Here is a 25,045-nt window from a genome sequence, read left to right as displayed (position 1 = left end):
CTTCAGTTTTTGTTTCTCCAGTAATTTATTGGTATTGAAATCCACATAATTCTCTGTTGACAAGGCTTTACCTTAGGAATCTTTGTCCTCTTGTTTAACCTTAGAAGTATCTCCTAAAGAGAAACCAAGAATGAGGATTATTGAATTGCTGTGGTAACATTCACAAAGACAAGTATTCACCTGATTTAGGTTTTAGAGGCAATTACTCTGTAGGACTGAAGTGTACCTTCCCTTCTGGTCCTGTCATGCTGGGCCCCAGAAGACCTCATTCTGTGCTTAGTTCCTTTGAGTATTTTAGCTTACACAAAGCCTTCTCCAAACGTAAAATAGAAATACAATTTAAACAGTTGTGGTTCAGTGCCCAAGATTTTTAAAGTGGCTAAGAGTTTTTTTTTTTAATTCTTATGTTTTAGAATTGCATCCTGGCAAAGAAACGTTAAGTTGTTTATATCAAGGCTATCACTGTTAATAGACTTTCTTTCCATTTTTATTTAATACCTGTTTGTCTTATCCAAGATACTGATTTTATGTTATACCCTAGACCCTTGGCATCCTTGAGATTGCATCTTTTCCGAATTCCCAAACTGAAAAGTTATTTACTGGGTTACTGGCGTTCTTTTGAATGGCATCTCGATTAAGTGTCACAATATCCAATGTCTGTCCTCATACCACAAGATAATCCCCTTTTTCATGTTCACAGATGATTTTCATTTCCATGCTGATGTACGTCATAAAGGAAAAAGTTATCACTTTGGTGCTAACCGTCCACTCAGTGATGGGGGCAGGGTGGAGGTGTTGGTCGAAGCCATGTTCATACCAGACTCAAGGCTATGATTTTAATTTAGAAAAATTGTAAATTATTACCATCATTTTTTTCTGGAGCTATTTCTAAGTATATACAATCACAAAGTTAAATTTAAGAGTAGCAAGTATCTATTTTCTAAAGAGAAACATTTGTAGAACAAGATCATGATCTTGTCTGATTTCTTAGAAAGCAAATATTTGTATTTTGCTGTATTGTAAAGTGTTCAATGTCTATTTAATATGGAAAAGATGAATGATATTTGCTTTTTTTGGTGATAAAAACGGTGACAGCTCTGTCACTGAGGCTACAGTGCAGTGGTGCAGTGACGGCTCACCGTAGCCTCAACCTCCCAGGCTCAAGCTATCCTCCAACCTCAGCCCCCCAAGTAGCTGGGACTATAGGAGCCTGCCATCATACCTGCCTAATTTTTTTTTATTTTTCATAAAGATAAAGTCTTGCTATGTTGCCCAGGCTTAGGCTGGTCTTGAACTCCTGGGCTCAAGCAATCCTCCCACCTTGGCTTCCCAAAGTGCTGGGGTTATAGACATAAGCCACTGCACCTGGCCAATATTTGCTTTTAAGTAAGAATTTTTAATTTGATTACATTTAGTAAATTATTTGGATATTTTGCATGCTCTCACAGCCCTCTGTTTCTCTTATGCAGCAGTTTGCACTTTTCTAATTATGTTGGTAATTATTTGCAATCATTTGTTTAGTTGTCTTTCCTTGCTACATTCCTCTATAAGGCAGGGCCAGGATTTTACTATTGGCCACCATATATATAATGTTGAGATGCTGTCATTCACTTAGTAGTTGCTAAATAAATAGTTGTCTGATCGACAGTATCAGAAATCTTATGCTTTAACATTTTTATATTAATATTTTATAGATTGACAAAAGTGAGGAAATTTCATTTTTTTTCTTGCAGATTCTGGTCTTTTTTGCGTTCCATTGACAGCGCTATTAGAACAAGATCAGAGGAAAGTACCAGGAATGCGAATACCCTTGATCTTTCAAAAAGTAGGTAGGCTTGGATTGGTCAGCATAGAGAGAACATACTTAAGCTAATAGTGGTTTTTGTATTCATATTATTATAATACAGTTTTCCAATTCATATACTGTCATGTTTTGTACTTTGATTTTCTATTCAGGAAGCAAATTGGTTTCAAGGGCTCATAAGTTTTATATTCATGGTGATGCTTTCTGTGTTATTACTGTAACTGTGATTACCTGGCGTCATTTTCCTGTCTTATATTAGCTGGCTTTGTATAATTGAGATTTCAATTCTATAATACATAGGAGTGGGAACTGCTTATAAATTTCTAGGGAATTGCATCCTCATGAATATTTCATGCCTGTGTATATTTCCTCAGCTTTTCTATTTACAGTGAGGATGTCCAATTTAATTTACCAGTGCCTATTTCCAAAGTAGGCAAAGAAACCATAAAGTAGAATTAGAAAATGATTGCTAAACTGTTAAGTCACTTGTGTAGTCAACACTCAGTTATTCATAAGGGGATTATCTGTGGCAATATAAAAATTTCCGTCCAACCTCTGAGCCATCATTGTTCAGAAATACAGATTACATTTGAGAAAAGCTAGGGAATGCACAGTGAGGAAGACAGGTCAACTCAGTTGTGAACTACCCAAGCCGTAGATTCTTTGCAGCAGCCCAGGCATATCACCGTTTCTGAAATTTCTTGGGACAGTAGAAATTGATTTGCAGTTAATTGGCTCAGCAAACTCATCCAGTACTAAGGCTCAATCTACTTGGCACTTATTCTTCCCCTCTTCCAAACCAGTCAATTAATTCCGTCTTACCTACTAACCTTTGGTGCTTTTTTCCCCTCATATCTACCACTACATTCAAACCTGCATCTCATTATTTCTCCTGACAAACTTTGTTCTATACAGTTGATCCCACCCATCAGCCTCTTTTAGCCACTGCATGCAGAACATGTATCTATGGAGAGCTGTCAGCAGTACCTGTGATTAACAGGAGGAGGCTGACAAATACAGGCTACATATTCAAATTCTTCTGTCAGTAGCAGTTGCAATTTACTATACACCAAAGCCTATACAAAGCAGGGATCTCAGCAGCATCCTTTCCTGGGGTATTAGTCAAAGTTCTCCAGAGAAACAGAAGCAATAGGATATATTTAGAGTGAGAGGAAGAGATTTGTTTTTTTTTAATTGGCTCACACAATTGTGGGGCTCACAAGTCTGAAATATGTAGAGCAGGCTAGCAGACTGGAAGCTCAGGCAAGAGTTGATGCTACCATCTTGAGTCCAAACTCTGCAGGCTGAAACTTAGGCAGTGTTTCTTTGTTGCAGTCTTGAAGCAAAATTGCCGCTTCTTTGGGAAACCAAAATCTTTTAGGCCTTCAACTGTTTGGATGAGGCCCACTACATTATAGAGAGTATTAAATAATTTTCATTATTCACAGTCTACTGTGACAACCAAAAAAAAAAAAAAAAAAAAATCTGTCACTGCAACATGTAGACTGCTGTTTGACTGAACACCTGGGCGCTATGGCCTAGCCAAATTGGCACACAAAATTCACCATCACACCACAGAAATACAGTGAGCTTCAGTTTCTGTGGAGGTTCAGTGATGCCACGTGATCCGGCTGAGGATTGCATCCAGTCTATTAAGAAAAATCTTCCTTTGTCATTTTCTCTTGAAGTTTTTTTTTTAAATTTATTTAGTTGGTTATTTTACATTTTTGGTCCCTTAACATTCTGCAGACTCTGGCTGTCTTATCTATTTGAAGGATTGGATAATGGCCCTAAAGTATTTTTGTTTCTATAAAAAATAAAGGAGCATATAAAAAGTTTACTTGTAGATAACACTCATCTGTTTGCATCCCTTGTGAATTATAAGCAAAAAATCACAGTGATCTATCACAAAAAAAGTTTTGATTTATCAGCTGACAACTCAATTAGGTCATATCTGTATTTTGTAAAATGGAAAAAATTAGAAACGACTGATTTGCAAGAAGATTCATTACCAGTCTTTAGAGGACTATAATTTAATTTTTGAGCTTATATACCCGAAAAGGACACTAACAAAGCTTATCTAATATCTATGAACCTGTACCTGTTATATTATTTTACTCAGAGGTACATTGTTTAAACCTTGTGTTCTCAGAAGGATGAGGGAAATAGAAATATTGTTAATTTTAATCTATGAAAAAAGTCTGTCTTATAACCTAATTATCAAATCTAGTGTTTTCACTGTCAAATGAATCAGCCAACTCAGCCATACTTTGTGTCAAAGAGTCTGTGTTTTCATTTCATTTTTCAATTCACATAAGTATGTAATATATATTTTGAGAAATGCTATGAAAATTACTGATAAATTACAGAACATAGATACATTAGTAACAGCATCATTAAAATGTATGAGTCAATATAGTTATTTTTCATCTCTATTTTAATCCTGATAATAAAAGGAATGCTATAAAGTATTATTTATATTTTAATAATGCAATATAATGTAGCTAAAAATGTTATTTTCAGTGAGATATATAAGAAAACACATGGCATTCCTTCTGACGATATATGTACGTAACTCTATTGGGTGCTGGTTTTTAGCCTTAGAGAATAATGAAAAGGACTCAAATATTAAAATGCAGAAATTACGCTCATTCAGTTATTTAGAAGTCACAATCACTTTTTCCTGTGTACTTAATGAAAGTGAAAGGCATATATTGCTGAAAACTAATTTGCTCCAGCAGCTAGCATACAATTGTACTTTTTGTTAATAGGACTAGAAACATTTTAAACATTTTATAAGATCAAATAAAATGAAAATTGGCTATACATTGAATATTGGTTACATTAGGTTTTAAATGCTTTATTTTGAATAACGCCCATCTGATCTAAAATAATTCGCCTAAAATTTTTGCTATGGGATTTTATCCAGTGTTACTTGAAAAATGTGGTCTTGGAAAATATTCCAGAAATTTTTTTTCTTTTCTTTTTTTTTTTTTTTTTGAGACAGAGTCTCGCTCTGTCGCCCAGGCTGGAGTGCACTGTTGCGATCTTGGCTCACTGCAAGCTCCGCCTCTGGGGTTCACACCATTCTCCTGCCTCAGCCTCCCAAGTAGCTGGGATCACAGGCACCTGCCACCACGCCTGGCTAATTTTTTGTATTTTTAGTAGAGACGGGGTTTCACCATGTTAACAAGGATGGTCTCGATCTCCTGACCTTGTGATCCGCCCGCCTCGCCCTCCCAAAGTGCTGGGATTACAGGGGTGAGCCACCATGCCCGGCCTACTCCAGATGAATTTTTAAAAATCCTGTACTGCTTTGACTGATCAAAGATGCTTCTCTTTTCCTAATAATAAATCCTTAGGAGAATTTTGAGACTGCTATGCTTAGTTCTTACTGACTTCCTCAATATCAGTGCATCTTTGGCCATAATATAACCCAGGAATAGAAGAGGTGAAGTGTTTAAAGAAAAGTTGACATCTCTTCCAGTGTCCACATACTACAATATATCTAACTTCAGAATATCCAGACAAAGGTCAAAATACCTCATTTATGATGCTTTGCTCCTAACAGACACTTTTATGTGCAAGGGAAAAACAGTAAGCTCCAGGTAGTTTATAGAGCCTTGTTTAATCATTAAAGGAGGCTTCCCTGAAAATTTTTTTTTTTACATTCTTTTGATACTCTAGAAGATTTTATGCCTTAGGGCATGCAGAGAATATTATAGTAAGACTGTGGATGAGTGAAGAATAGGTCTGTCTTTTATAAAGCAGGGAAGGCAATTGTGAAATGAGAGTGGGTGCCAGGGAGGAAAACCTATATGATGCTAGGAAATGCCTTATATTCAAACTGAGGACAGGAAAACTGATTTTCTTAAAATAGAATATGTTTTATACGGCCTTTGTGTACTGCTCAGGGAATGCCTACTCCAAGAAGATCACGTTATCAAGAATCTGACCACTCTTATTGTCTTCTTAGCCTCCAGTAGTCATTGTAATTTCTCCATTTGCCTTCTTTTTGCGGGTTTCTGCCTTTTTAAAAAACAAAAACAAAAAAATGCTTTTTGTGGGAATCTGGAGTTAGATCAGCGTATTCATTGGGCATCAGGTATGACTTAGAGGCCATATACAAGGACATTTTTCTTTGTTTAACACCAAAGACTTAAAAATGAATATTTGCAAACAGTCTTTTTTCTGCATGTCATAAATAATTCTTTCTTGGAACAAGCTAAAAATGAGATGTAAATATGCAAATGCTAGATTTTCATAAGATTTATTTGATTGCAGAATGTAGGTTTCTGGAAAAGCAGAATAAATAGATGTTCTTAGTTGCTTTTAAACAGTGAACATCTTTATTCTGTTTGTTTGGAGTACCACAGCTGTTGTGTGAAATTACACACTTCTGTTATAAAGTAGCATAAGGCCCAACTTTTTCTAAATTATAACAAAAGTTTCTGGACTTATTGTTTTGAAGGACAGTGGTAGTAAAATAGCATTCAAAACCTCATAAAATCCAGTTTACATGTCATTGTAATCAGTTTTATTTATATGTGAAACAGATGTTAAATTCGGAATTGTACCTGTTACAAATACGGAAATTAGAATGTTTCTCTGTTTATGCACAGCTGATTTCTCGAATTGAAGAGAGAGGTTTGGAAACAGAAGGCCTCTTACGGATCCCTGGAGCTGCCATTAGAATCAAGGTAATCTCTGGGTTCTACTAATGTAAACATTTTATTGTTTATTTACACTTATGCATTTTAAAAGCTAACTTGTCCTCTCTACCCCTTTTTTCCATTGTTAGTAAAGTAGATAAAATAAAACAATAAAACCTTTTACCATTCAGTTTAGTTTTTCTACAGTCCCTTCTGGTTTTTGCTAAGTTTTTTGTTTTGTTTTGTTTTCAAAATCACCATATTACCTATAATAATACTATGACAAAAGAATGTGATGAGTTAAAATATTAATGGCGTGGGGATAGTTGTGATAGATTTAGCCAGGATGAGTAGTAGCAATTGAGTTTACGGAAGTCAGGGCCGGGCGTGGTGGTTCACACCTGTAATCCTAGCACTTTGGGAGGCCAAGGCGGGAGGATTGCTTGAGGTTAGGAATTCAAGACCACCTTGGGCAACAAAGTGAGACCCTGTCTCTACAAAAAATAATTTTAAAAAATTAGCCAGGCATTGTGGTGGTCACCTGGAGTTCCAGCTACTCAGGAAGCTGAGTGGAGAGGATTGCCTGAACCCAGGAGTCCCATGTGGCAGTGAGCTGTCATTGTCCCACTGCACTCCAGCCTGGGTGACAGAGCAATAAGACCCTGTTTCTTAAAAATAAAAGAAAAAACACTTTGGGAGGCCAAGGTGGGCGGATCACGAGGTCAGAAGTTTGAGACCAGCCTGGCCAAAATAGTGAAACACTGTCTCTACTAAAAATACAAAAAATTATCCAGGCATGGTGTTGGGCACCTGTAATCCCAGCTACTCAGGAGGCTGAGGCAGGAGAATCGCTTGAACCTGGGAGGCAGAGGTTGCAGTGAGCCAAGATCGCACCATTGCACTCCAGCCCGGGCAACAGTGCGAGACTTCGTCTCAAAAGAAAAAAAAAAGAAAAAGGCCAGGATCATAGACTCCTGCAGATGGGGGACCTTGACATCCTATGCATAATTAGTCTTAGTGAGCCGGCCAGACGAGACACTCTCAACCACCTTCCTGATTCACACAGTTCCCTGTCTTGCTGCATCCAGGGTAGCCTGAGTCTGGCTGGTGAAAGAATAATTCCTAGACTTCCCAATTTGAGCCATCCCTTCTCCCTTGCCTTTTCTTCTCTCTGGATGACAGTTCCTTCCCACTGTTCCAGGGTACCACGTGTCCTCCTGCTGTCATCTTTGTGCCTCACTTTTTGGCCTGGGGGATAAAGCTTCCAATGAATGCATGATAAAGATGGAATTACCCTACAGGGGATGCATACTGCATATCCCCTCAGGGGATTTAAATGTAAAGGGGACTCATACTTGGAATTGTAGCTGTATCTGGAAGCAGCCATTAACTACTAACTTTTACCCTATCTTCCAAATTCACCTTTAGCTCTGCACTGAGATAGCACAAGTAACCACTGCCCACATCCAATACATTGTCTTCCTGAATTTGAAAATCCAAGAGAAAATAGGAGAAAAGAGAGAGAATCTCTCTTCATTTTCATAACCCCATTCTTTATGAAATCGTTAGAGCTGGATCAGGACTAAGTGTTTCTTGGGGAGTGCACACTGTCCTGGCCTGCTTCTAATGGGCTGTGGTGTTGCCAGGATTGGAATTACTCTTTATACATTTCACAGTTTGCATCACCTGCTTTTTTTGATAAGTTGCCTTGATTTAGGACACCAGTTTCGGCCTCCTTGGCTCTTACTACATAGTGATCTCATTTTAATAGGATTCGAGTAACCTGATATATTCTGATCATAATTTTCCACTTGTGTCCCCTGGGTTTGGTGTCTGGTACTTAGAGCTCCCTGAAACTGTGGTGTTTGTAAGTTTCATAGCTTGTCATTGTCTCACTTCATGTAACACCTATAGCACGTTTGCCACTAGTGGACATTGTGTGATTCTGAGACGAGTTCTTTTAAGTACATTCACTAACAAAGATATAATTCCTCAGAAACAGGTAACAAACATAACTTCATATTACCCACATTGGCAAGATAGTCCTCAATTCACCGAGTTCAAAGCACTCGGGCCCTCACTAGCAGACTGCAATGGCCAGCTCACAGGAGGCAAAAATACATTTACTTCAGTACAGAATAGTGAATATAATGCAGATTTTACTTTGCAACGAGAAGGCTGGCAGAAGGACAAGTTTAACTAAGTGTAATTTCTAAGAAGGCCAATTAAGTGGATTCAGCTGGCTCAACTCTTCAACCCAGCCTGTTGTCATATGCCAAATTATGCAGCAGCTGGTCCATTATAAATAATTTAAAAGATAATATGCAAAAATGTTGGTTGTCTCTTTTCCCCCTGGCCCCACCAAATTTCTCTGTACTATTCTCTCTCCCTCTCCCTCCATTTTTTCTGCCTCTCTTCTCTGGATCTTCCTCTGTTGTCCTTTCCTCCCTCATTCTTTCCCTGCTCATTCTTTCCCCCCTCATTCTTTCCCTCCATGCCCCCTCTCTCTCCTCTTCCTTCCCTCCCTATCTCCCACTCCCTTTTTCTATCTTTTCCTCCCTCCTCTTTTTTTTTTCCTCTTCCTCCTTTTCTCACTCCCTCTTCCCTCCTCTCTATTTCTTTTTCTGTCTTTGCCACTCCCCTTCACCTATTTCATCAATTACAAAAATAATTGGGGGTAGAGAATGGTTGTTGTGTTAGGAAGAGAAAATGTGGTAATTTGCCTTACAAGAAAACAAAGAACATACTTTGGGAGAATGGTTTCATGTAACAGAGGAAAGTGACAGAAACTTGTGATGGTTTTTAACGTGATAGGATTTATATATAGTAAAGAAGTATACAAAAAATAGTAATTACAAAACTCAATTGATTTATTAGTAATAATTTGCCTGACAAATTTTGTAGAGTTCTGAGGTAAGTGAACTAGATATTTCTAATTCTGCATGGACTCAGACTGTTTTTTGCAGCTGGCAGCAGGATGGCTGTGCATTAAAGACAGGTATATTGATGTATTTTCTTGCCTCGTTTACTATAAAATTGGGTTTTCCATTTCCCGTAGGTGACTAATCAGAGGTAGCCTTCTGTTTTAGTCCCAGAGACTGATTATGTATTTTTTTATGTAATATACTTCTAAATTTAAAACATATACTTCTTTTTTAATGATTTTTTTCTTAATTTAACGAAGATTTATAATATGTAGATGAAGCCCCCAAATGGAACAATTATTTTAACCAGTCTCTTAATTAAAACTTTATTACTTACAGTTTGTGGAATGTCCAGGAAAAAGTATAAATTTTAAAATGTTTTTTGGCCTTAGGTACAGTTTTTTGTTGGTAAAGTACATTTGGATTAGAGGAGAGGAGTAGTTTTTTTTCTGAGTAAAAGAAATATTGACTTTTGGTAGTCTGATTTGTCTTGTCTAAAGAGCAGAGTCTCTTGAAAGTGAAAATGTGTCATACTCTCAGCAAGAAAAAAAATGCACTTCTAGCTGCTTCTTTTTTTTTTTTTTTTTTTTTTCGTGCCTATCAGAATCTTTGCCAAGAACTAGAAGCAAAGTTTTATGAAGGGACTTTTAATTGGGAAAGTGTCAAACAGCATGATGCCGCCAGCCTGCTGAAGCTCTTCATTCGGGAGTTGCCCCAGCCACTGCTCAGTGTGGAGTATCTCAAAGCCTTTCAGGCTGTCCAGAGTAAGTGCTATCCCTCTTTGAAGCAGTCCTTCTGCTGGTGCCATCTATGTTAATTGTTTTAATGACATTTGGCATCACAAAGAACGCAACCAGACGTATTTGGGTGGACATATTGACTCAACTGATGTCAGTGGGTGCTCAGCTGCCATGCATTGTTTTCTGTTTTTCTTATAAATATGCATTCCTGAGTAAACAGATAACAGAATGTTCTCTTTGGGTACAGATTAATTGCACGACATTTAAGCAATACAATATATTTCAGTGTTAAAACCTGGAAACTTCATGTTTCTCTTATAATAGAATGAGTCACATAAGATCTCTGATACAATTTTCTTGCCAAGTGTTAAAAAGCAACACTTACTGGAGAAGCTGTGGATGAACAGTTATCATAAAAGCACAAGGAGAAGTGGTAGGGTCTCTGAGCATTTCTTGAAAAATTAAATTCTGAGGTTGTCATGCAGAAGTGTGGAGCAAAGCATTTTGCTGCCTCATTGGTGGAAGGTCACAAGCTGCTTCTTATGTACTGCCATTTTGTCGTCTTGGGCAAGCTACACATTAGTGTCTCTAATAGTTCTCGATTCTTTTTCCAGTGAACCTAGATCTTATAAGGTTTATCTACTGGCCTAATTATCCATTTTACACCTAGAGGCCATGAAGAAAAGTAAAAATGCCATCACTGCCTTCAAGTAACTGTATCTTTATCTTTTAAACAGGGACACTTATAAGAATGAAAAGGGGCACTATTAATAATTATGGTGAGCTCCCAGCACTTTGGGAGGCTGAGGCGGGCAGATCACTTGAGGTCAGGAGTTCAAGACCAACCTGGCCAATATGGTGAAATCCCATTTCTACTAAAAATACAAAAATTAGCCAGGCATAGTGGTGCGCACCTGTGATCCCTGCTATCCGGGAGGCTGAGGCAGAGAATCACTTGAACCTGAGAGGTGGAGGTTGCAGTGAGCCAAAATCACACCACTGTACTCCAGCCTGGGAGACAGAGTGAGACTCTGACTCAAAAAAAAAAAAAGAATAAATTGCGGTGAGCTACAGTTTCAACCAGAACTGTACCAGGCTATTCTTAACACATACAATATTGAGATGGTTTCATGAGTCATCTCGTATCATGACATTTCTTCAGAATTTCTAGGAGAGACGGAACTGAAATCTCTTCTGTTTAAAGTATTTTTTTCTTAACATGTTTCTTCTTTAAATAGAATAAATTACCTTCTGTGGGAAATATTTTTTAATGTTTAAATTGTGCTACGTTGCATACATTTCCTGGATATGGATTAAAGGACCAAATTTATTGCTGAAAAAGAAATGCTGGAATGATTCTAAATATCCATGAGTATTACTTAAATGGGGTAAGGGCTGCTGAAAATGATAACATCAATGATAATAATGCACCTCTTAGACTGTTGAGCTGCTGCTTCGTTTTCTAATTTATTCCACAGGCATTTATAAGCACCTATTGTGTTCCAGGCCCTATTTTACATATTCCTGTTGGAACTGATGGACTCTTACCATGCATTTGTTCACTCGCCATTAAAAGAAACAAACCACTGTTACGGACGCACCCTGATACTGTATCATGGAAGGTCCAATCCTCTATGTCTTTTCATTGGGGAATAATTATCACGCAGAAGTTAAAATTATTTCCAAAGCACTGTTGTGTGTCTGCAAACATAAGGCCGCACGTCATATGATCACAGTTGGAAGTGAGCATTCTGAGAGAGAGGAAGCTCCTAACAGCAGCTGCTTCTGCTGATCTCCCACAAACACACTCTCAACAAGGCTTGCAGCTCAGTCGTTGTGTCTTACATTTTACAGTCATGTTTATGCCAAATAACTTTTTTCTTAAAAAGTGAAAAAATAAAGTAAAGGAAAATGTTCACTGAAGAAAAGAGTTCAGATTTATTTAATTTGTCTGCAGATCTTCCAACCAAGAAGCAGCAACTACAGGCTTTGAACCTTCTTGTCATCCTCCTACCTGATGCAAACAGGGACACACTGAAGGTCAGCTTGGTTAATTTACATTAAATATCCCTTAGAAGTAAGCACAGTAATTTTTCATTATTTGTGGCAAAACAATAAGATGTGTATCTTGGACATGGTCATAAAAGTCTATAAAGAAAAAGCCTACTTTTAAGGACAGAGGGTGAAAGCCTTTAACTCTTTATGAGGTTGTTATGTTACTAATGTTATTAAGTTTTTGTTTTTTTTAATTTTCACTGTAACATTTCTTCTTCCAAACCAGACGATTGAGGTTCGTCGGTTAATGGAAACGTGGGTGGTTTTTTGTTTTTTTTCTCCTTCTTATTTCTTTTTTTTGCATTTATCAAATTATATTTAATAAGCAGGTAGCAGTAAGGTAAAATATAAATGTTTAAAACAAAAATCCTAAGTTTTATCAAATATAACCCACTACTACCTAAAGATATGACAGTTTGTAGTTTGAAATGGTAGATTTTGAAGTGAGTCATAATGGTGATTTGACACAATTGTTAGCCAAAAGATAGACCAACTCAAACAAATTCTAATTATTTCTCTAAGGGTTCATCCGGAGTTTCTGATTTATATCACCATTTTGAAGTGATTTGCTCTAATGTTTATATAACTTAATATCATCTACTTTAAGTGTTGTCAGAAGCTCTTATAATCAGGGATTGTGCCACACTGATTTATTTTCCTTAACAGCAGAGTTTATAGAGTAGTTGTAAAAGGTTTAATTATAAACTCTTAGAAAAAGGAAAAAAAATTAACTTAGTAAAAGTATTATCTTAAGTTTTTCCCTTGCCTTAAAAATATTTTTTATATGGGTAAAGGGCTTCTTTACCCTCTTCATTTTTTTCTATTTAAGATGAAATCTCATGACAAGAGCTTTCAAGTTAAGAAAACAAATTTACTAGTTGGTACATCTTGGAATTTTTTTCCTGTAATTCATTAAAACTCCTTGAATTGTAACTGCATGAGTGATAGTTCTTTAATGCCCATGGAATGAATATTAATACTCAACTTTTCTTGATGAAGCAGCTTATGGGGATTACTGGAGGTAAAACGCTACGTCCGCTACAGGAGAACTTCCAAAGGGTTATTCCCTTTCCTAAATCAGAAAAAAAGCCTTTTGCTTCACTGGTTGTCAAATGAATAACCCAGAAGACAGCATTAGGTTTTATTTCAATTTGCTTTTGAGACAGAGGTCAACTCAGAAAGGGTTATATTCAAAGAGTGTGTGCCCAGGGCTACTGTGTAAGTGTGTGTAGATTGTGGCTGAGACAGGGACATATGGCCCAGGACAAAGTGGGGCTGACGATCTAACATGTCCTCAGCTTGTCAGCAGTGCTCCCGACACAGGGCTTCAACTACTCAGAAATAGGGAGGAACATCTTTTTCTTACTCATTGACGACCCTATCAATGCCCAGTGTGCAGTGGGTACTGGAAAACTTATGATTTACTTAAGATACCCCTACATTCAAATGAGTTCAAGTAGTTGTAGGAGGAAGCATTCAATTCAATATGGCTGCTTTGGGTGTGGCTGAGCTGGAACTCTTCTTCGGGCTTTGCCCTCAAAGTCCCAGGCATATTCTTTTAAAAATTCTGTTAAAAAATAGTTTTAAAATTATAGGATAGTTCTTACATTTTGTGTATGAGGCTATCGGAAAGATAATTTTATAATTAAGGGGGGGGGGAGTACTATTTTTGGTAAAAAACTGGAAGATGCAAACAAGTAATTTTACATGTTTACTTAAGCTTTAGTGACTTAATTAGCCAGCTCTGCTGAAGGTTTCAAACTAGAACTTTAATAATAGAACATTTGAACAAGAATGCCATATGTGCAAAGAATAAGCCATAAATTTAGTTCTGTAAAAGGGAAGGGAAACTCCAATGCAATATAATTTCAGGAAGTCTAACGCAAAATTCCCTGACTTATCCAGTGCTAGCAGCACGCCTTCAGTTGTCATCTGAAGGACAGAATCATGTGCATGGTTGTTTGGAATATTGCTACAGCAAGTCTAAGGGTTAGGAGGCACCATGTTAAATACCACATCTTGGTGTGGTAGTAAAGTGACAGGTGTGTTTGGGCAAGCTGCTTAACTACAGTTACTTTTCACTTTGAATTATGGTGCATTTGGACCAATGATCACACCTACCTTTGACTTGGAACAATAGTGAAGACTGATTTTAAGATAGCAAGAGGGGATCCATGTTAATATAATTCTTGACATTTATCTTTTTTGTAGTTTTAAGAAGCTCATTATATACATTGTTTCAATCCTTCCAGGCTGAGAGATAAGTACTCCCATTTTACAAATCAGAAAACTTTAAAGAGCAGAGGTATGTAAAGATGTAACATCATACCCAGCTACTAAGTAATTGTGCTGGTACTCAAACCTGGCTTTTCAGAGAGTGAACCCGGTGATTGATACCACCAGGCCAGTGATAAAGTAAATATTTTTTGAAACAGGAGAAGTTCTCATGAGTGTATAAAGAAAATGTGATAGATACACACAGACACACACACATACACACATACACCATGTAATACTACTCAGCCATAAGACAGCATGAAATAATGGCCTCTGCAACAACTTGGATGGAACCGGAAGCCATTATTCTAAGTGAAGTAAAGCAGGAATGAGAAACCAAATATTGCATGTTCTCACTTATAAGTAGGAGCTAAGCTATGAGGATGCAAAGGCATAAGAATGATACACTGGACTTTTGGAACTCGGTGGAAGCGTAGGAGAAGGGTGAGAGATAAAAGACTGCATATTGGGTAGCTTATACACTGCCCAGGTGACAGGCACACCAAAATCTTAGAAATCACCGCAAAAGAACTTACCCATGTAAGCAAAAACCACCTATATCCCAAAAACTATTGAAATTATATATATATATATATAAAGGGGAAATTCTGAAGGTTCAGATAGAAAATTCTGCAGTTCCTTCAGCAAGGGCTGGGCTAACATCTCGTTAATTTTATGTCAACTCTCTCTCTTATTCTCTAGTATTCTGATAGTAGTATTTTGAGTAACGTTATTACATATGCACACCACAATTAAAACGGTTTATTACCTAATGTCTGTAATTTATGCTCATAAAGAAAGAGATACACTGGTCCCTGAACAATTATTCTGGTCTCTGTGGAACAAAATTAAATATTTTTTCCAAACTTCAATTAATCTTTTGTCCTCATTTGAGAACATGTTGTTTTATATAACTTTATGCTTGGATTACAATTTAACTTCCTGAGCACTGTACTAGAAATTAGATACATAAATCTCATTGTTAGATATTAAAGCTCTGTCCTTAATTTGTTTCAAAGTTTCAAGGTCTATATAGCAGTTATACTTGATTCAAAAGCAACCTGTTAGCACTTACAGGAATTTTTTTTTCCAGAAATTCTTTGGAAGATAGATACTTTTTTTCCTTTTTCCATTTTAGTATAGTATATTTGGCCTTTTTAGGGTAGGGATTTTAGGCTAACTCTGAAAAAATGATTCTTTTAATAGTTAAGAATTTAGAAACAAAAGCCAGATAGACCTGTAATTAAATTCTTTCTCAGGATTTGTTAGCTGTATGACCACCAGGAAGTTACTTACATTCTCCAAACATTGTTTTCTGATCTGTAAAATGGAGGTAATTACAGCATCTGTCTCCAAGTTAGGATTAAGTAATCTCTATCGTGCTTCATAAACTGCCTCATTCATAGAGAACATTGAATACCTGTGCAGTTATAGTTACTGTTGTTCTAGAACAAAAGAAGAAGGCAAAAGAAAAATCTGAAGCCTTAAGTCATGTTAGAGTAGGGTGACCTCAGCTGCATTTGCCTTTTGGAGAAGGTAGTTTCAGAGGACAATGAGTGTCTGCAATAGGGGTGGGTGTACGTGGCATCAAGCTGAGCATAACCTAACCTGTTCTGATGAAAAGTTTCTTTTCATTCATTTTAAAAAAAATTCTCAGCTGGGTATGGTGGCTTACACCTGTGTAATCCTAGCACTTTGGAAGGATGAGGTGGAAGTGTTTCTTGAACTCAAGAGTTCAAGACCAGCCTGGGCAACATTGCGAGAATTTGCCTCTATGAAAAATCAAAAAAATTAGCCAGGCATGGTGGCATGCACCTGTGGTCCCAGCTACTCTGGAGACTGAGGCAGGAGGATCACTTGAGCCGAGGAGTTTGAGGCTGTAGTGAGCTATGATCTCTCACTGCACACCAGCCTGGGCAACAGAGTGAGACCTGGTCTCAAAAAAAAAAAAAAGAAAGATTCTCTTTGGTCTTTCCTCATTTCCCCGCTTTCTCTATCACAATATTCCCTCACCTCTCTTTTCTTTTCTCTTTTCTTTTCTCTTTTCTTCTCTCTTTTCTCTCTTCTCTCTTTTCTCTTTTCTCTTTTCTCTCTTCTCTTCTCTTCTCTTTTCCTTTTTTGAGAGAGGGTTTCTCTCTGTTGCCTAGGCTGGACTCAGACTCCTAAGCTCAGATGATCCTCCCACCGATCTGGGACTACAGGTGTACACCACCATGCCCAGTGCCTGGGACTACAGGTATGCACCACCATACCCAGTGCCTGGCTCATTCTTTATAAGTTCCACATCAGCCAGATATTGATTGCCTTAAAGAAATGAGACTGAAGTTGAATGACCCTTTTTGAGGGAATTTTTAAAAATCTCTACATAGGAAAGTACAGCATTTCCTGAAATAAGCAAATGTTTGTATGATGTTTTACATTACTTTTCAGCTCTCCATGACTCCCATAGGCCAGAGGTCTGACACTTCCCCACTCCTCTCTCTGCTCCCTAGTTCAGCTATGTGCCATCTCTGCTTCATTCCCCAGCACCATGGTCCTTAGTAGAAGCAAATTTCCATCTCAGGGAGCATCAACCAAATGGAGAAGCTTTGGTAACAGGGCCTGCTGGATGTGATTAGTTGACTGTGCTTATACACAACTTGTTTTTTCAATGAAATAAAAATTGCATATGCTACAGTGCTTTAATCTTTTATCTTCATATATGACACAAATCTCAAAGAGTCATTTCTGTTTCAGGCCCTTCTTGAATTTCTCCAAAGAGTAATAGATAATAAAGAAAAAAATAAAATGACAGTCATGAATGTAGCAATGGTCATGGCCCCGAATCTCTTTATGTGTCATGCATTGGGATTGAAGTCCAGTGAACAGCGAGAATTTGTAATGGCAGCTGGGACAGCAAATACCATGCACTTATTGATTAAGTACCAAAAACTTCTGTGGACAGTAAGTATATATCATATGCTTTGGTCTTAGTAGTTTAAAAAACAAATTGCATGTTTGTTATTAGCTTTATTAATTTACATTTAAAATTTGTGAGTGCAGAAAATATTAAAAACATTTTATTCATATAGGTAAGGAGGGCCCTGTGAATTTCTGTTTTAAAATTATGTCAAAACATGCCTTGTAAGAAGTACTTTTTATTTACTTCTGCCTATTTTCCCATTTCTCAGTGTTTAGGCCTGCTGTATTTTTAAAAGCCCATGCTATCTTGGTTTCAGATTATTCAGTTCTTTTTCATAGACCCTTTATTGAAAGGGATGCATGCATTTTGTACCCTTATTAACTGAGAACATCTTCAAAAATGGTTTCCTCTGTTTTACACTTATTTTGAGCTTGTTTTGACAGCTTATCAGAGGATGGAAGTGGATGAGAGGCTTCGTTGATTAGGTGCTCATTTTCCAATGAAATTTATAATTTTTCAGGAGGCATCTTATAAGCATTTAGGAAAAAATGACCTAAAGGAATTCCAAGCAAAATTATAATATTGAATATTTCAATCTCTTATTTGAGGAGCTTCCAAACATTAATTTGTTAAAAAGACAGAGTGATGATATTTAGATCCTGAAGTCTTTATTTTTATAATCCATAAAAAGACAACTGATGTAGATGATTTCAAATGTGTTTTTTTAATAAAAAATTAATGTCCATTTATTAAATCTCAATGTTTGAAATGTCAAAATTATTTCATGGTTACATTTTGATACCTTAAAATATTTTGTTTTTGCTAATGTGATTTCTTAGGATAAATTTGTTCTGGATTTTTGCTAGCTACCTATCAGCTCTTGTTTCTTGGGGAGTTCTTTCTCTCATGACAGCAGCGGCTAGCTGGTTATTAGAAGGGGACTTGAGGTTAGCTAGCAGGGCTGTAGGTAGGAGGCTGCAAAAGGAAAGACCTACGGAGGTGGCTTCTACTGCTCGTCACCTCAGGGGGTCTCCAGTCTGGCATAGAAAACGGCCACTATGTCCTTGAACTTCACAAAGCCTCTTTTGGAACCTTCCACAGTGGGTGGCAAATTATACCACGTGGATGCCCTGTACACCTGGTAAGTGAATAATATGAAGTATTTTCTTTTCACAGATTTAATGAATAGTGCATGTAAAATGGCAGTCTTATCAAAAAGAGAAACTCTTTACTGTTTTTGAAATTTAAAAAAATATAATTTTTTTTTGTAGTTTAAAATGGTGGCATTTCTTTTTCCTCTCTAAGCTTAATTCCTTTTCTCTATAGATTCCCAAGTTTATTGTAAACCAAGTGAGGAAGCAAAACACGGAAAATCATAAAAAGGATAAAAGAGCCATGAAGAAATTGCTGAAGAAAATGGCTTATGACCGAGAAAAATATGAAAAGCAAGATAAGAGTACAAATGATGTAAGAAAATAGTGGAGATATGTATTTATTCAGATCTTAAGTATTTTTTTAATACCAAAATTTTTTATTTAATGTTTTCATAGTATGACTTTCTGCCACTTATTAGGCTGTGGTGCTACTTGTAAGTGAAAGACATCAGTAACTGTCTTCCTACTACTGCTGCTAATGATCAGTATTGACAGTTGGTCAGGTGTTGGTGACTCAGCATGTGAGTTGTTAATGGGGAACAAAGGAAGATATCAAGACAAGACTGAACACACACACACACACACACCCCTACACCCCTACCCCTACCTCTACCTCTCGTGCGGAGACTCTAGTCGCCTACTGAATATATAATCTATAGTGAGTAAATAACATCATGTGAACCACTGACATTTTTTTCTAAATTTTTCTCATCTGTAGAATGGGGAAAAATAACTAATCCAGATGGACAAATAGGTTAATGTTTGTGTTGTGCCTAGGATTATTCCTGGACTTTAATAAGTATTTGAAGGTTCTCAATTTGATCAGAAGAATTTTGAGAGCTAAATTGGAAAGAAAAAAATTAAGATGTTTCAAAAAAGAAATACCTAAATATCTGTATTTATAAACTACTGTAAGAGTATATTAAGAACTGGGTTTACAATAATAAAATATACATGGATATACATTTATGAAGTAAGTTACCAAAGCTGTAGCGTAAGTTCATGAAATGAAAGGGTTTCTATTGTTCTATTTAAGTGAATCCACCTCCTCCCTACTACCACCACCATTGAAGTTGTTCAGTTACATGCTGACATCTTGTGGAATAATGTGAAAATGCAGTTATCTGCCTTTGTCTGAATTTTCGGTTTTGGCCTGCTTATGGATCCAGTAATCATAAAAACGAAGTTTTTCTCTTAGATTTATTTATAGCTCTCACTCTTAAAAAATGATACTTTCTTGGCATTGTAAAACATTTTAAATCAAGTTTTAAATATCTTTAAAAACATAAAGAGAAGTTGTAAATATGCTTATTTTTTTAGAAAGGCCTTGATATTATCCTAAAGGCTTTTAGAAAGCCTTTTTTTTTGGCATTTGGTTAACTTTAGAATGTTCTGTTACCTCTAAGACCATTGTAAATATGTGAATTAAGTCTGTTTTGTAGCCCTTCTTATTCATATTAAGTGACTTTATAGTCTTGTCTTTTTATAGGGCATTTAGCTGTGATATTCTGAAGCTCAGGATCTACTTAAGGAAACATTTGGGGTGTACCTTTTAAATAATATTTAGAAAAACTGAAACGTTTACTTTTTGGAAATGGAATATTTTAGTAATTTTGTCATTTATGGAAAAAAAAGCATTAACTTCTTTAGTTTGCACTTTGGCATAGTTAGACATGATCTGGTCTGAGAATGATCTCTGTACTATTTAAAAACTGTATTGTCATTTTAAAGCTTGGGATTTAAATATCAGTTTCATCACATATTAGCTGTAACTTTACCTCTTTGAGTTTTTTTTTTTCTTTCCTTATGTGAAATTCAGTTACTCATCAACAAAATGCTATTGCCACCTTGGTGCTAGGCCCCCACTTTATGTTAGGTGTTCCCAGGGAGTCAGGGAGCTGGGTGCTCACCCTCGAGGAGCCAGGAGAAGGCATATAGAAGGGATGTAGCTCAGAGGTATGTGATTGAAGCCTGACCAGGGTACCGTAATCTACAAAACAGGAAGTAAGCATGAGAGAGGCTTCACTGGGGAGTCAAGCTGAGATGTGAAAAATAAATCAGTGTTGTTCAGGTGTCACTAGAGAAGAGCCATCTAACCTGCAGTGGAAGCTTTCTGACATCACAGCCCATGGTGGAGGTCTGTTTGGCCTGTCATTTTGGTAGAAAAATTCTCATCTCCAGCCTGGCCAAGACAGTGGAACCTCATCTCTGCTAAAAATATAAAAATTGGCTGGACGTGGTAGCACACACCTGTAGTCCAGCTACTTGAGAAGCTAAGGCAGGAGAATCGCTTGAACCTGGGAGGCAGTGAGCCAAGATTGCGCCACTGCACTCCAGTTTGGGTGACAGAGTGAGACTTCATCTCAAAAAAAAAAAAAAATTCTAATCAATAGCCAAAATTTAAAAAAAAAATTATGCCATTTTATTAGGGAGAGTAAATAGACACACAAAGCAATTACAGAACAAGTAGAGGTGCAAGCTAAGTTCAAATACTGTGGATATGTGGTAAGTTACTAAGTAACAAGAGTTTTTTGCATGTTGCTTCCAACTGGCAACTGCCAGAATTCTAAAGCTAAAACATTTAATGTGAAAGTTTGAACCACCGTCTTAATGACAAATGGATGTTGGGGCATCCCTCATCTTCTGGCAGTAAGAGGCCTGCTTTCCATCAGGGTAGCAATTCCCTGGATTTGAGTAGGAGCCGTTCCTTTTGCATGGAACATGGACCATCTACTTTGCTGTAAGCCATGCCCCCTCCTTCATTCTGTCTGGTTGCTGTAGTTTCTTGACTCTCCTCCAAATCATTTAAATATGCAATATGAAACTATAGGGCATGAAATTGCCTGGGGGTAGCTTTTGTCATTTGTTAAACAGTTACTTGATATGTGCCTACTGTGTGCCAGGAATTACTGGGTACTTGAAATATAAATTATTGGACAAAACATACAAAGATCACTGCTCTTCCAGAGCTTAAATTCTAAAAATAAAAGTAAATCTAGGAAGTAATTCATATAATGTGTTAGTATGTGATTTATCCTCCAAAAGTAATAAAAACAACAGAACAAGGGGAATTGGGAAGGAGATCCCCTGGCACTATTAAGTTGAGATGGTCTGGATATTATTCATTTAAGCAAAGACAAGAAGAAGGGCAGGGAGTTGAGTTGTGTGTATATCTCAGGAAACTCAGTCCAGGCAGAAAGAATAGTCTGTGAAAAAACCTTAAGACAGGAACTTACCTTAAGGAGTGAGTGTAGCTGGAGTGAAGCCAGCAGAGGGAACGGTAGTGTGAAATGAGGTCAGAGGGGCAATGGGGCAAGATTGCATAGGGCCTTGTAGATAGACCATCATTAGAAATTTGGATTTACTCTGAGTGAAATGGGGGTTTGAAGCAAAGGCTTGAAAATCTATACTATGTTTTAAAATGATTCCTTAGGCTGTTGTGTTGAGAATAGACTAAAAGGGAGCAAAGAAAAATAGGGAGATCATTTGGGAGGTTCTTGTAATCCAGGTAAGAGATAATGGTGGTTCAGACCAGGGTATCAGCATCGGAAAGTGGAGAAATGGTTGGATTCTGGATTTTGTTTTGAAGTTAGAGCCATTGAGATTTCCTGATGGAAATCATGTAGGAGAACAAAAGAGGTCAAAAATGACTCTGATTTTTGGCCTGAGAAATTGGAAGGATGGTATTGCTTTCAATTTCATGATTTCAATTTAGGACATATTGAGTATGATGTCTATTGGACATTTAAGTGGGGATATTTGAAATGTTTGGAGAGAAAATCAGGTCATACTAACTGGCCACTTAGGTGCATAGAGAGACAGGGGCAGAGGGAAAGCAGGAGTGAGCCTTAAGAGAGATTGATAGCAAAGTTTCTATTCTGTGCATGACAGGGAACTGCTGAAAGGTGAAGGAAAGATTTGAGGGAGTGTAAGATTGGAGGGTAGGTAGGAGATGGTAGGTAATTTCCTTGTTGATGGGAGTATATAAATTGGTAGAGTTCTTCCAGAGAACAGCAGCATGTGGCAAAGTCCTGAAAGCCATGCTCTTCACTGGACTCAGATATTCCTCCAAAGAGAGTAATAGCATGAACATGCAAATATTTATGGTTAAGTTCATTGCCATTTTCTTACACTGACCAAAATTAGAGATAATCCAAAAGAACAGAGGTGGCTAGTTAAATACATTATGGCATATCTATACAGCGAAATACCATGAAAGTGTACAAATGTGTATCTTGACATTGAAGAGATTCGTAATATGTTACTATGTGATAAAAGAAGTTACGAGTCAGTGAATGGTGTAGTGCTATATTTTTAGGGGGTAATAGCTATGATTTTAATGCTTTGCAGAGGTCAGACACAATGCTAAACATTTTACAAATATTGTCTCGTAATATTTATGGTAGTCTAATTGGGGTGTATTATTGTCTAATTTTTTTCAGATGAGGAAAGTGAGAATTAGCAATCTTAAAGTTACTAAGGTTATCTAGATAGGAATTAGTGGAGCTGGAATTTGAAACCAAATCTATATGACTTTAAATCCATGGACTCTTCACCATTATTCTCTGTTTCTCCATAGATCACAGAAGGACTCTAAGAAGGATATATACCAAAACTCTGGGCTTATGGGTGGTAATACAATGAACATGGATTACTGCTGTTATAAAATATGTTTTATATGTAGTTCTTAAAATGGTCCTGGGCTAGAGCCAAGGCCCAGTTGAGAATCGAAAGAAGTTTAGAATGTGAGCCAATAGGAACCCTGCAACATGTGGATACTGGTTGGATGTGAAGAATGTGGAAGAAGAAGGGAATCTAGAATGACTTGCCAAATTTGGCCTTGGGTGACTTTAGCATCAAGCAAAAGGGGGACAGACTTAAAAGTGAGTTTTTGACACTTTGGGTTAACGTGCCTGTGTGAGTCGGCTACAGGGGCCTGAATTTCAAGGAGCATCCAGCATTGGAGGCACACCTTTGGGATTAGCCTAGAGATTGTTGTTGAAGTCATAGAGTGGTTCATATTACACAAGGTGGATATATGGAGTAAGAAAATAAAGAGACAAAGAGAGATCTCTAGGGGATTCCAATGTTTAAGTATGGGCCATTCAAGAAGAGCTGGTGAAGGAGGCTAGGAAATAATAGGAAGTAAGAGAAAGTTGAAGGATGTATATTTTCTCTGAAGCCCAGGCAGGAAGAGTAAAGTAAGTAAAAAGAGCTTGGTTAGTAGTGCCAAATGCTGCAGAGAGACTGAGTAAGGTTAACACTGAACAAAGGTTTTTGAATTTGAAGGTTAATTATTACTTTCCCCAAAGCATTGTCAATGGTAATTTATGGAAAAAGCTAGATTGCCAGGGATTGGAGAGTGAAAGAGACTATAGATCATAAACATTCTTCAAGGTAATATTTTTAAGAGGCTTTGACTCAATGCAGTGGCATGCACCTGTAGTCCCAGCTACTTGGGAGGCTGAACAGGAGGATCACTTGAGCCTAAGAGTTAGATGCCAGCCTGGGTAAAACAGTGACACCCCTGTTAAAAAAATAATAATTTTGTATGCTATTAAAACTAACCGTTTATAATTGGGCATTTGTATTATTAAGACGTGCTAGACTACACTAGTTAATTAATAATTTGAGCCAGGTTTTAAGATGTACTCAATTTACCTCATGAGGCAAATGTTTTTAGTGACTACAGCATACTGAGTGTTTGGTCCAAATGTAGATGTTCTTAAATACTAGTATGTCTTATCCATTAATTATAGTAGGAAGAAACAGTTGGAGGAAAAATAAGAAAATTGTAGACCATTAATAATAATCATTTTCTGATAGGCTTTAACTTGTCGGGATTGATAACACACACATCTACACCCACACATACACCTCAGAAGTCATGTGGCCTGAGGATATAGCCCCAGCTCTGCCACGAGTGAGTGTGACAAGTCATTTTACCTCTGTGGGCTTCAGTTTCTTTTATAAAATGATAGGGTAGGATCAGGTTAATGGTGTTTAACCAGAAGTTCACAATAGTGGCATCTGTAATATTTAATTTTTTAAAGGTTTGTTTATTTTTGGAGATAAGGTCTTGCTTTTTCACCCAGGCTGAAGTGCAATGGTGCAATCATGGCTCATTGTAACCTCAAAGTTGCAGGCTCAAGGGATCCTCCCACCTCAGCCTCATGAGTAGCTGGGACTACAGGCATGCATCACCATGCCTGGTTAATTTTTAAACTATTTTGTAGAGACAGGGTCTTGCTACGTTACACAGGCTGGTCTCGAACTCCTGGCATGAAGCGATCCTCCCTCCTCAGCCTTTCACACCTGAGATTACAGGTGTAAGCCACTGCACCTGGCCTGGTAATATTATTTTAGAACAAAACAAAAAGCAAACCGTGATTGGGTGACTCGCTAGACCCACTGAGTCAGACTCTCCCAGGGCAGGACTTGGGCGTGTGTATCGTCTAAAAGCTGGAAGGGTAATTCCCTCTTCCTATTGGTGTGTTTGTGTGTGTGTATGCATATGTATATTTAATTTTATCATGA

The 25,045-nt window shown here is 37.3% G+C and overlaps 1 protein-coding gene across 1 annotated transcript in view, besides 1 other annotated feature; it reads left to right on the top strand.

Moving 5' to 3' along the window:
• The window catches only part of ARHGAP18 (Rho GTPase activating protein 18), a 134,046-nt gene that overhangs the window by 92,141 nt on the left and 16,860 nt on the right, over positions 1–25,045 (top strand). The window contains exons 7-12 of the mRNA NM_033515.3: positions 1,734–1,825; positions 6,427–6,504; positions 9,985–10,144; positions 12,078–12,160; positions 17,189–17,395; positions 18,681–18,821. Of these exons, the coding sequence (NP_277050.2) occupies positions 1,734–1,825; positions 6,427–6,504; positions 9,985–10,144; positions 12,078–12,160; positions 17,189–17,395; positions 18,681–18,821 (761 nt within the window). The remainder of the gene's footprint in view (positions 1–1,733; positions 1,826–6,426; positions 6,505–9,984; positions 10,145–12,077; positions 12,161–17,188; positions 17,396–18,680; positions 18,822–25,045) is intronic.
• Positions 18,879–19,173: an enhancer, noted in NCBI's record as "tiled region #13537; K562 Activating DNase matched - State 14:Gen5'". NCBI's record gives its function as "activates a minimal TATA promoter and a strong SV40 promoter by Sharpr-MPRA in K562 cells {active_cell/tissue: K562}" and the evidence as "EXISTENCE:reporter gene assay evidence [ECO:0000049][PMID:27701403]".

The sequence above is a fragment of the Homo sapiens genome, chromosome 6 (genome assembly GCF_000001405.40).
Source record: "Homo sapiens chromosome 6, GRCh38.p14 Primary Assembly".
Lineage (NCBI taxonomy): Eukaryota > Metazoa > Chordata > Mammalia > Primates > Hominidae > Homo > Homo sapiens.
The sequence above is the reverse complement of the archived record's forward strand: the minus strand, read 5'-3'. Positions and strand labels throughout refer to the sequence as shown.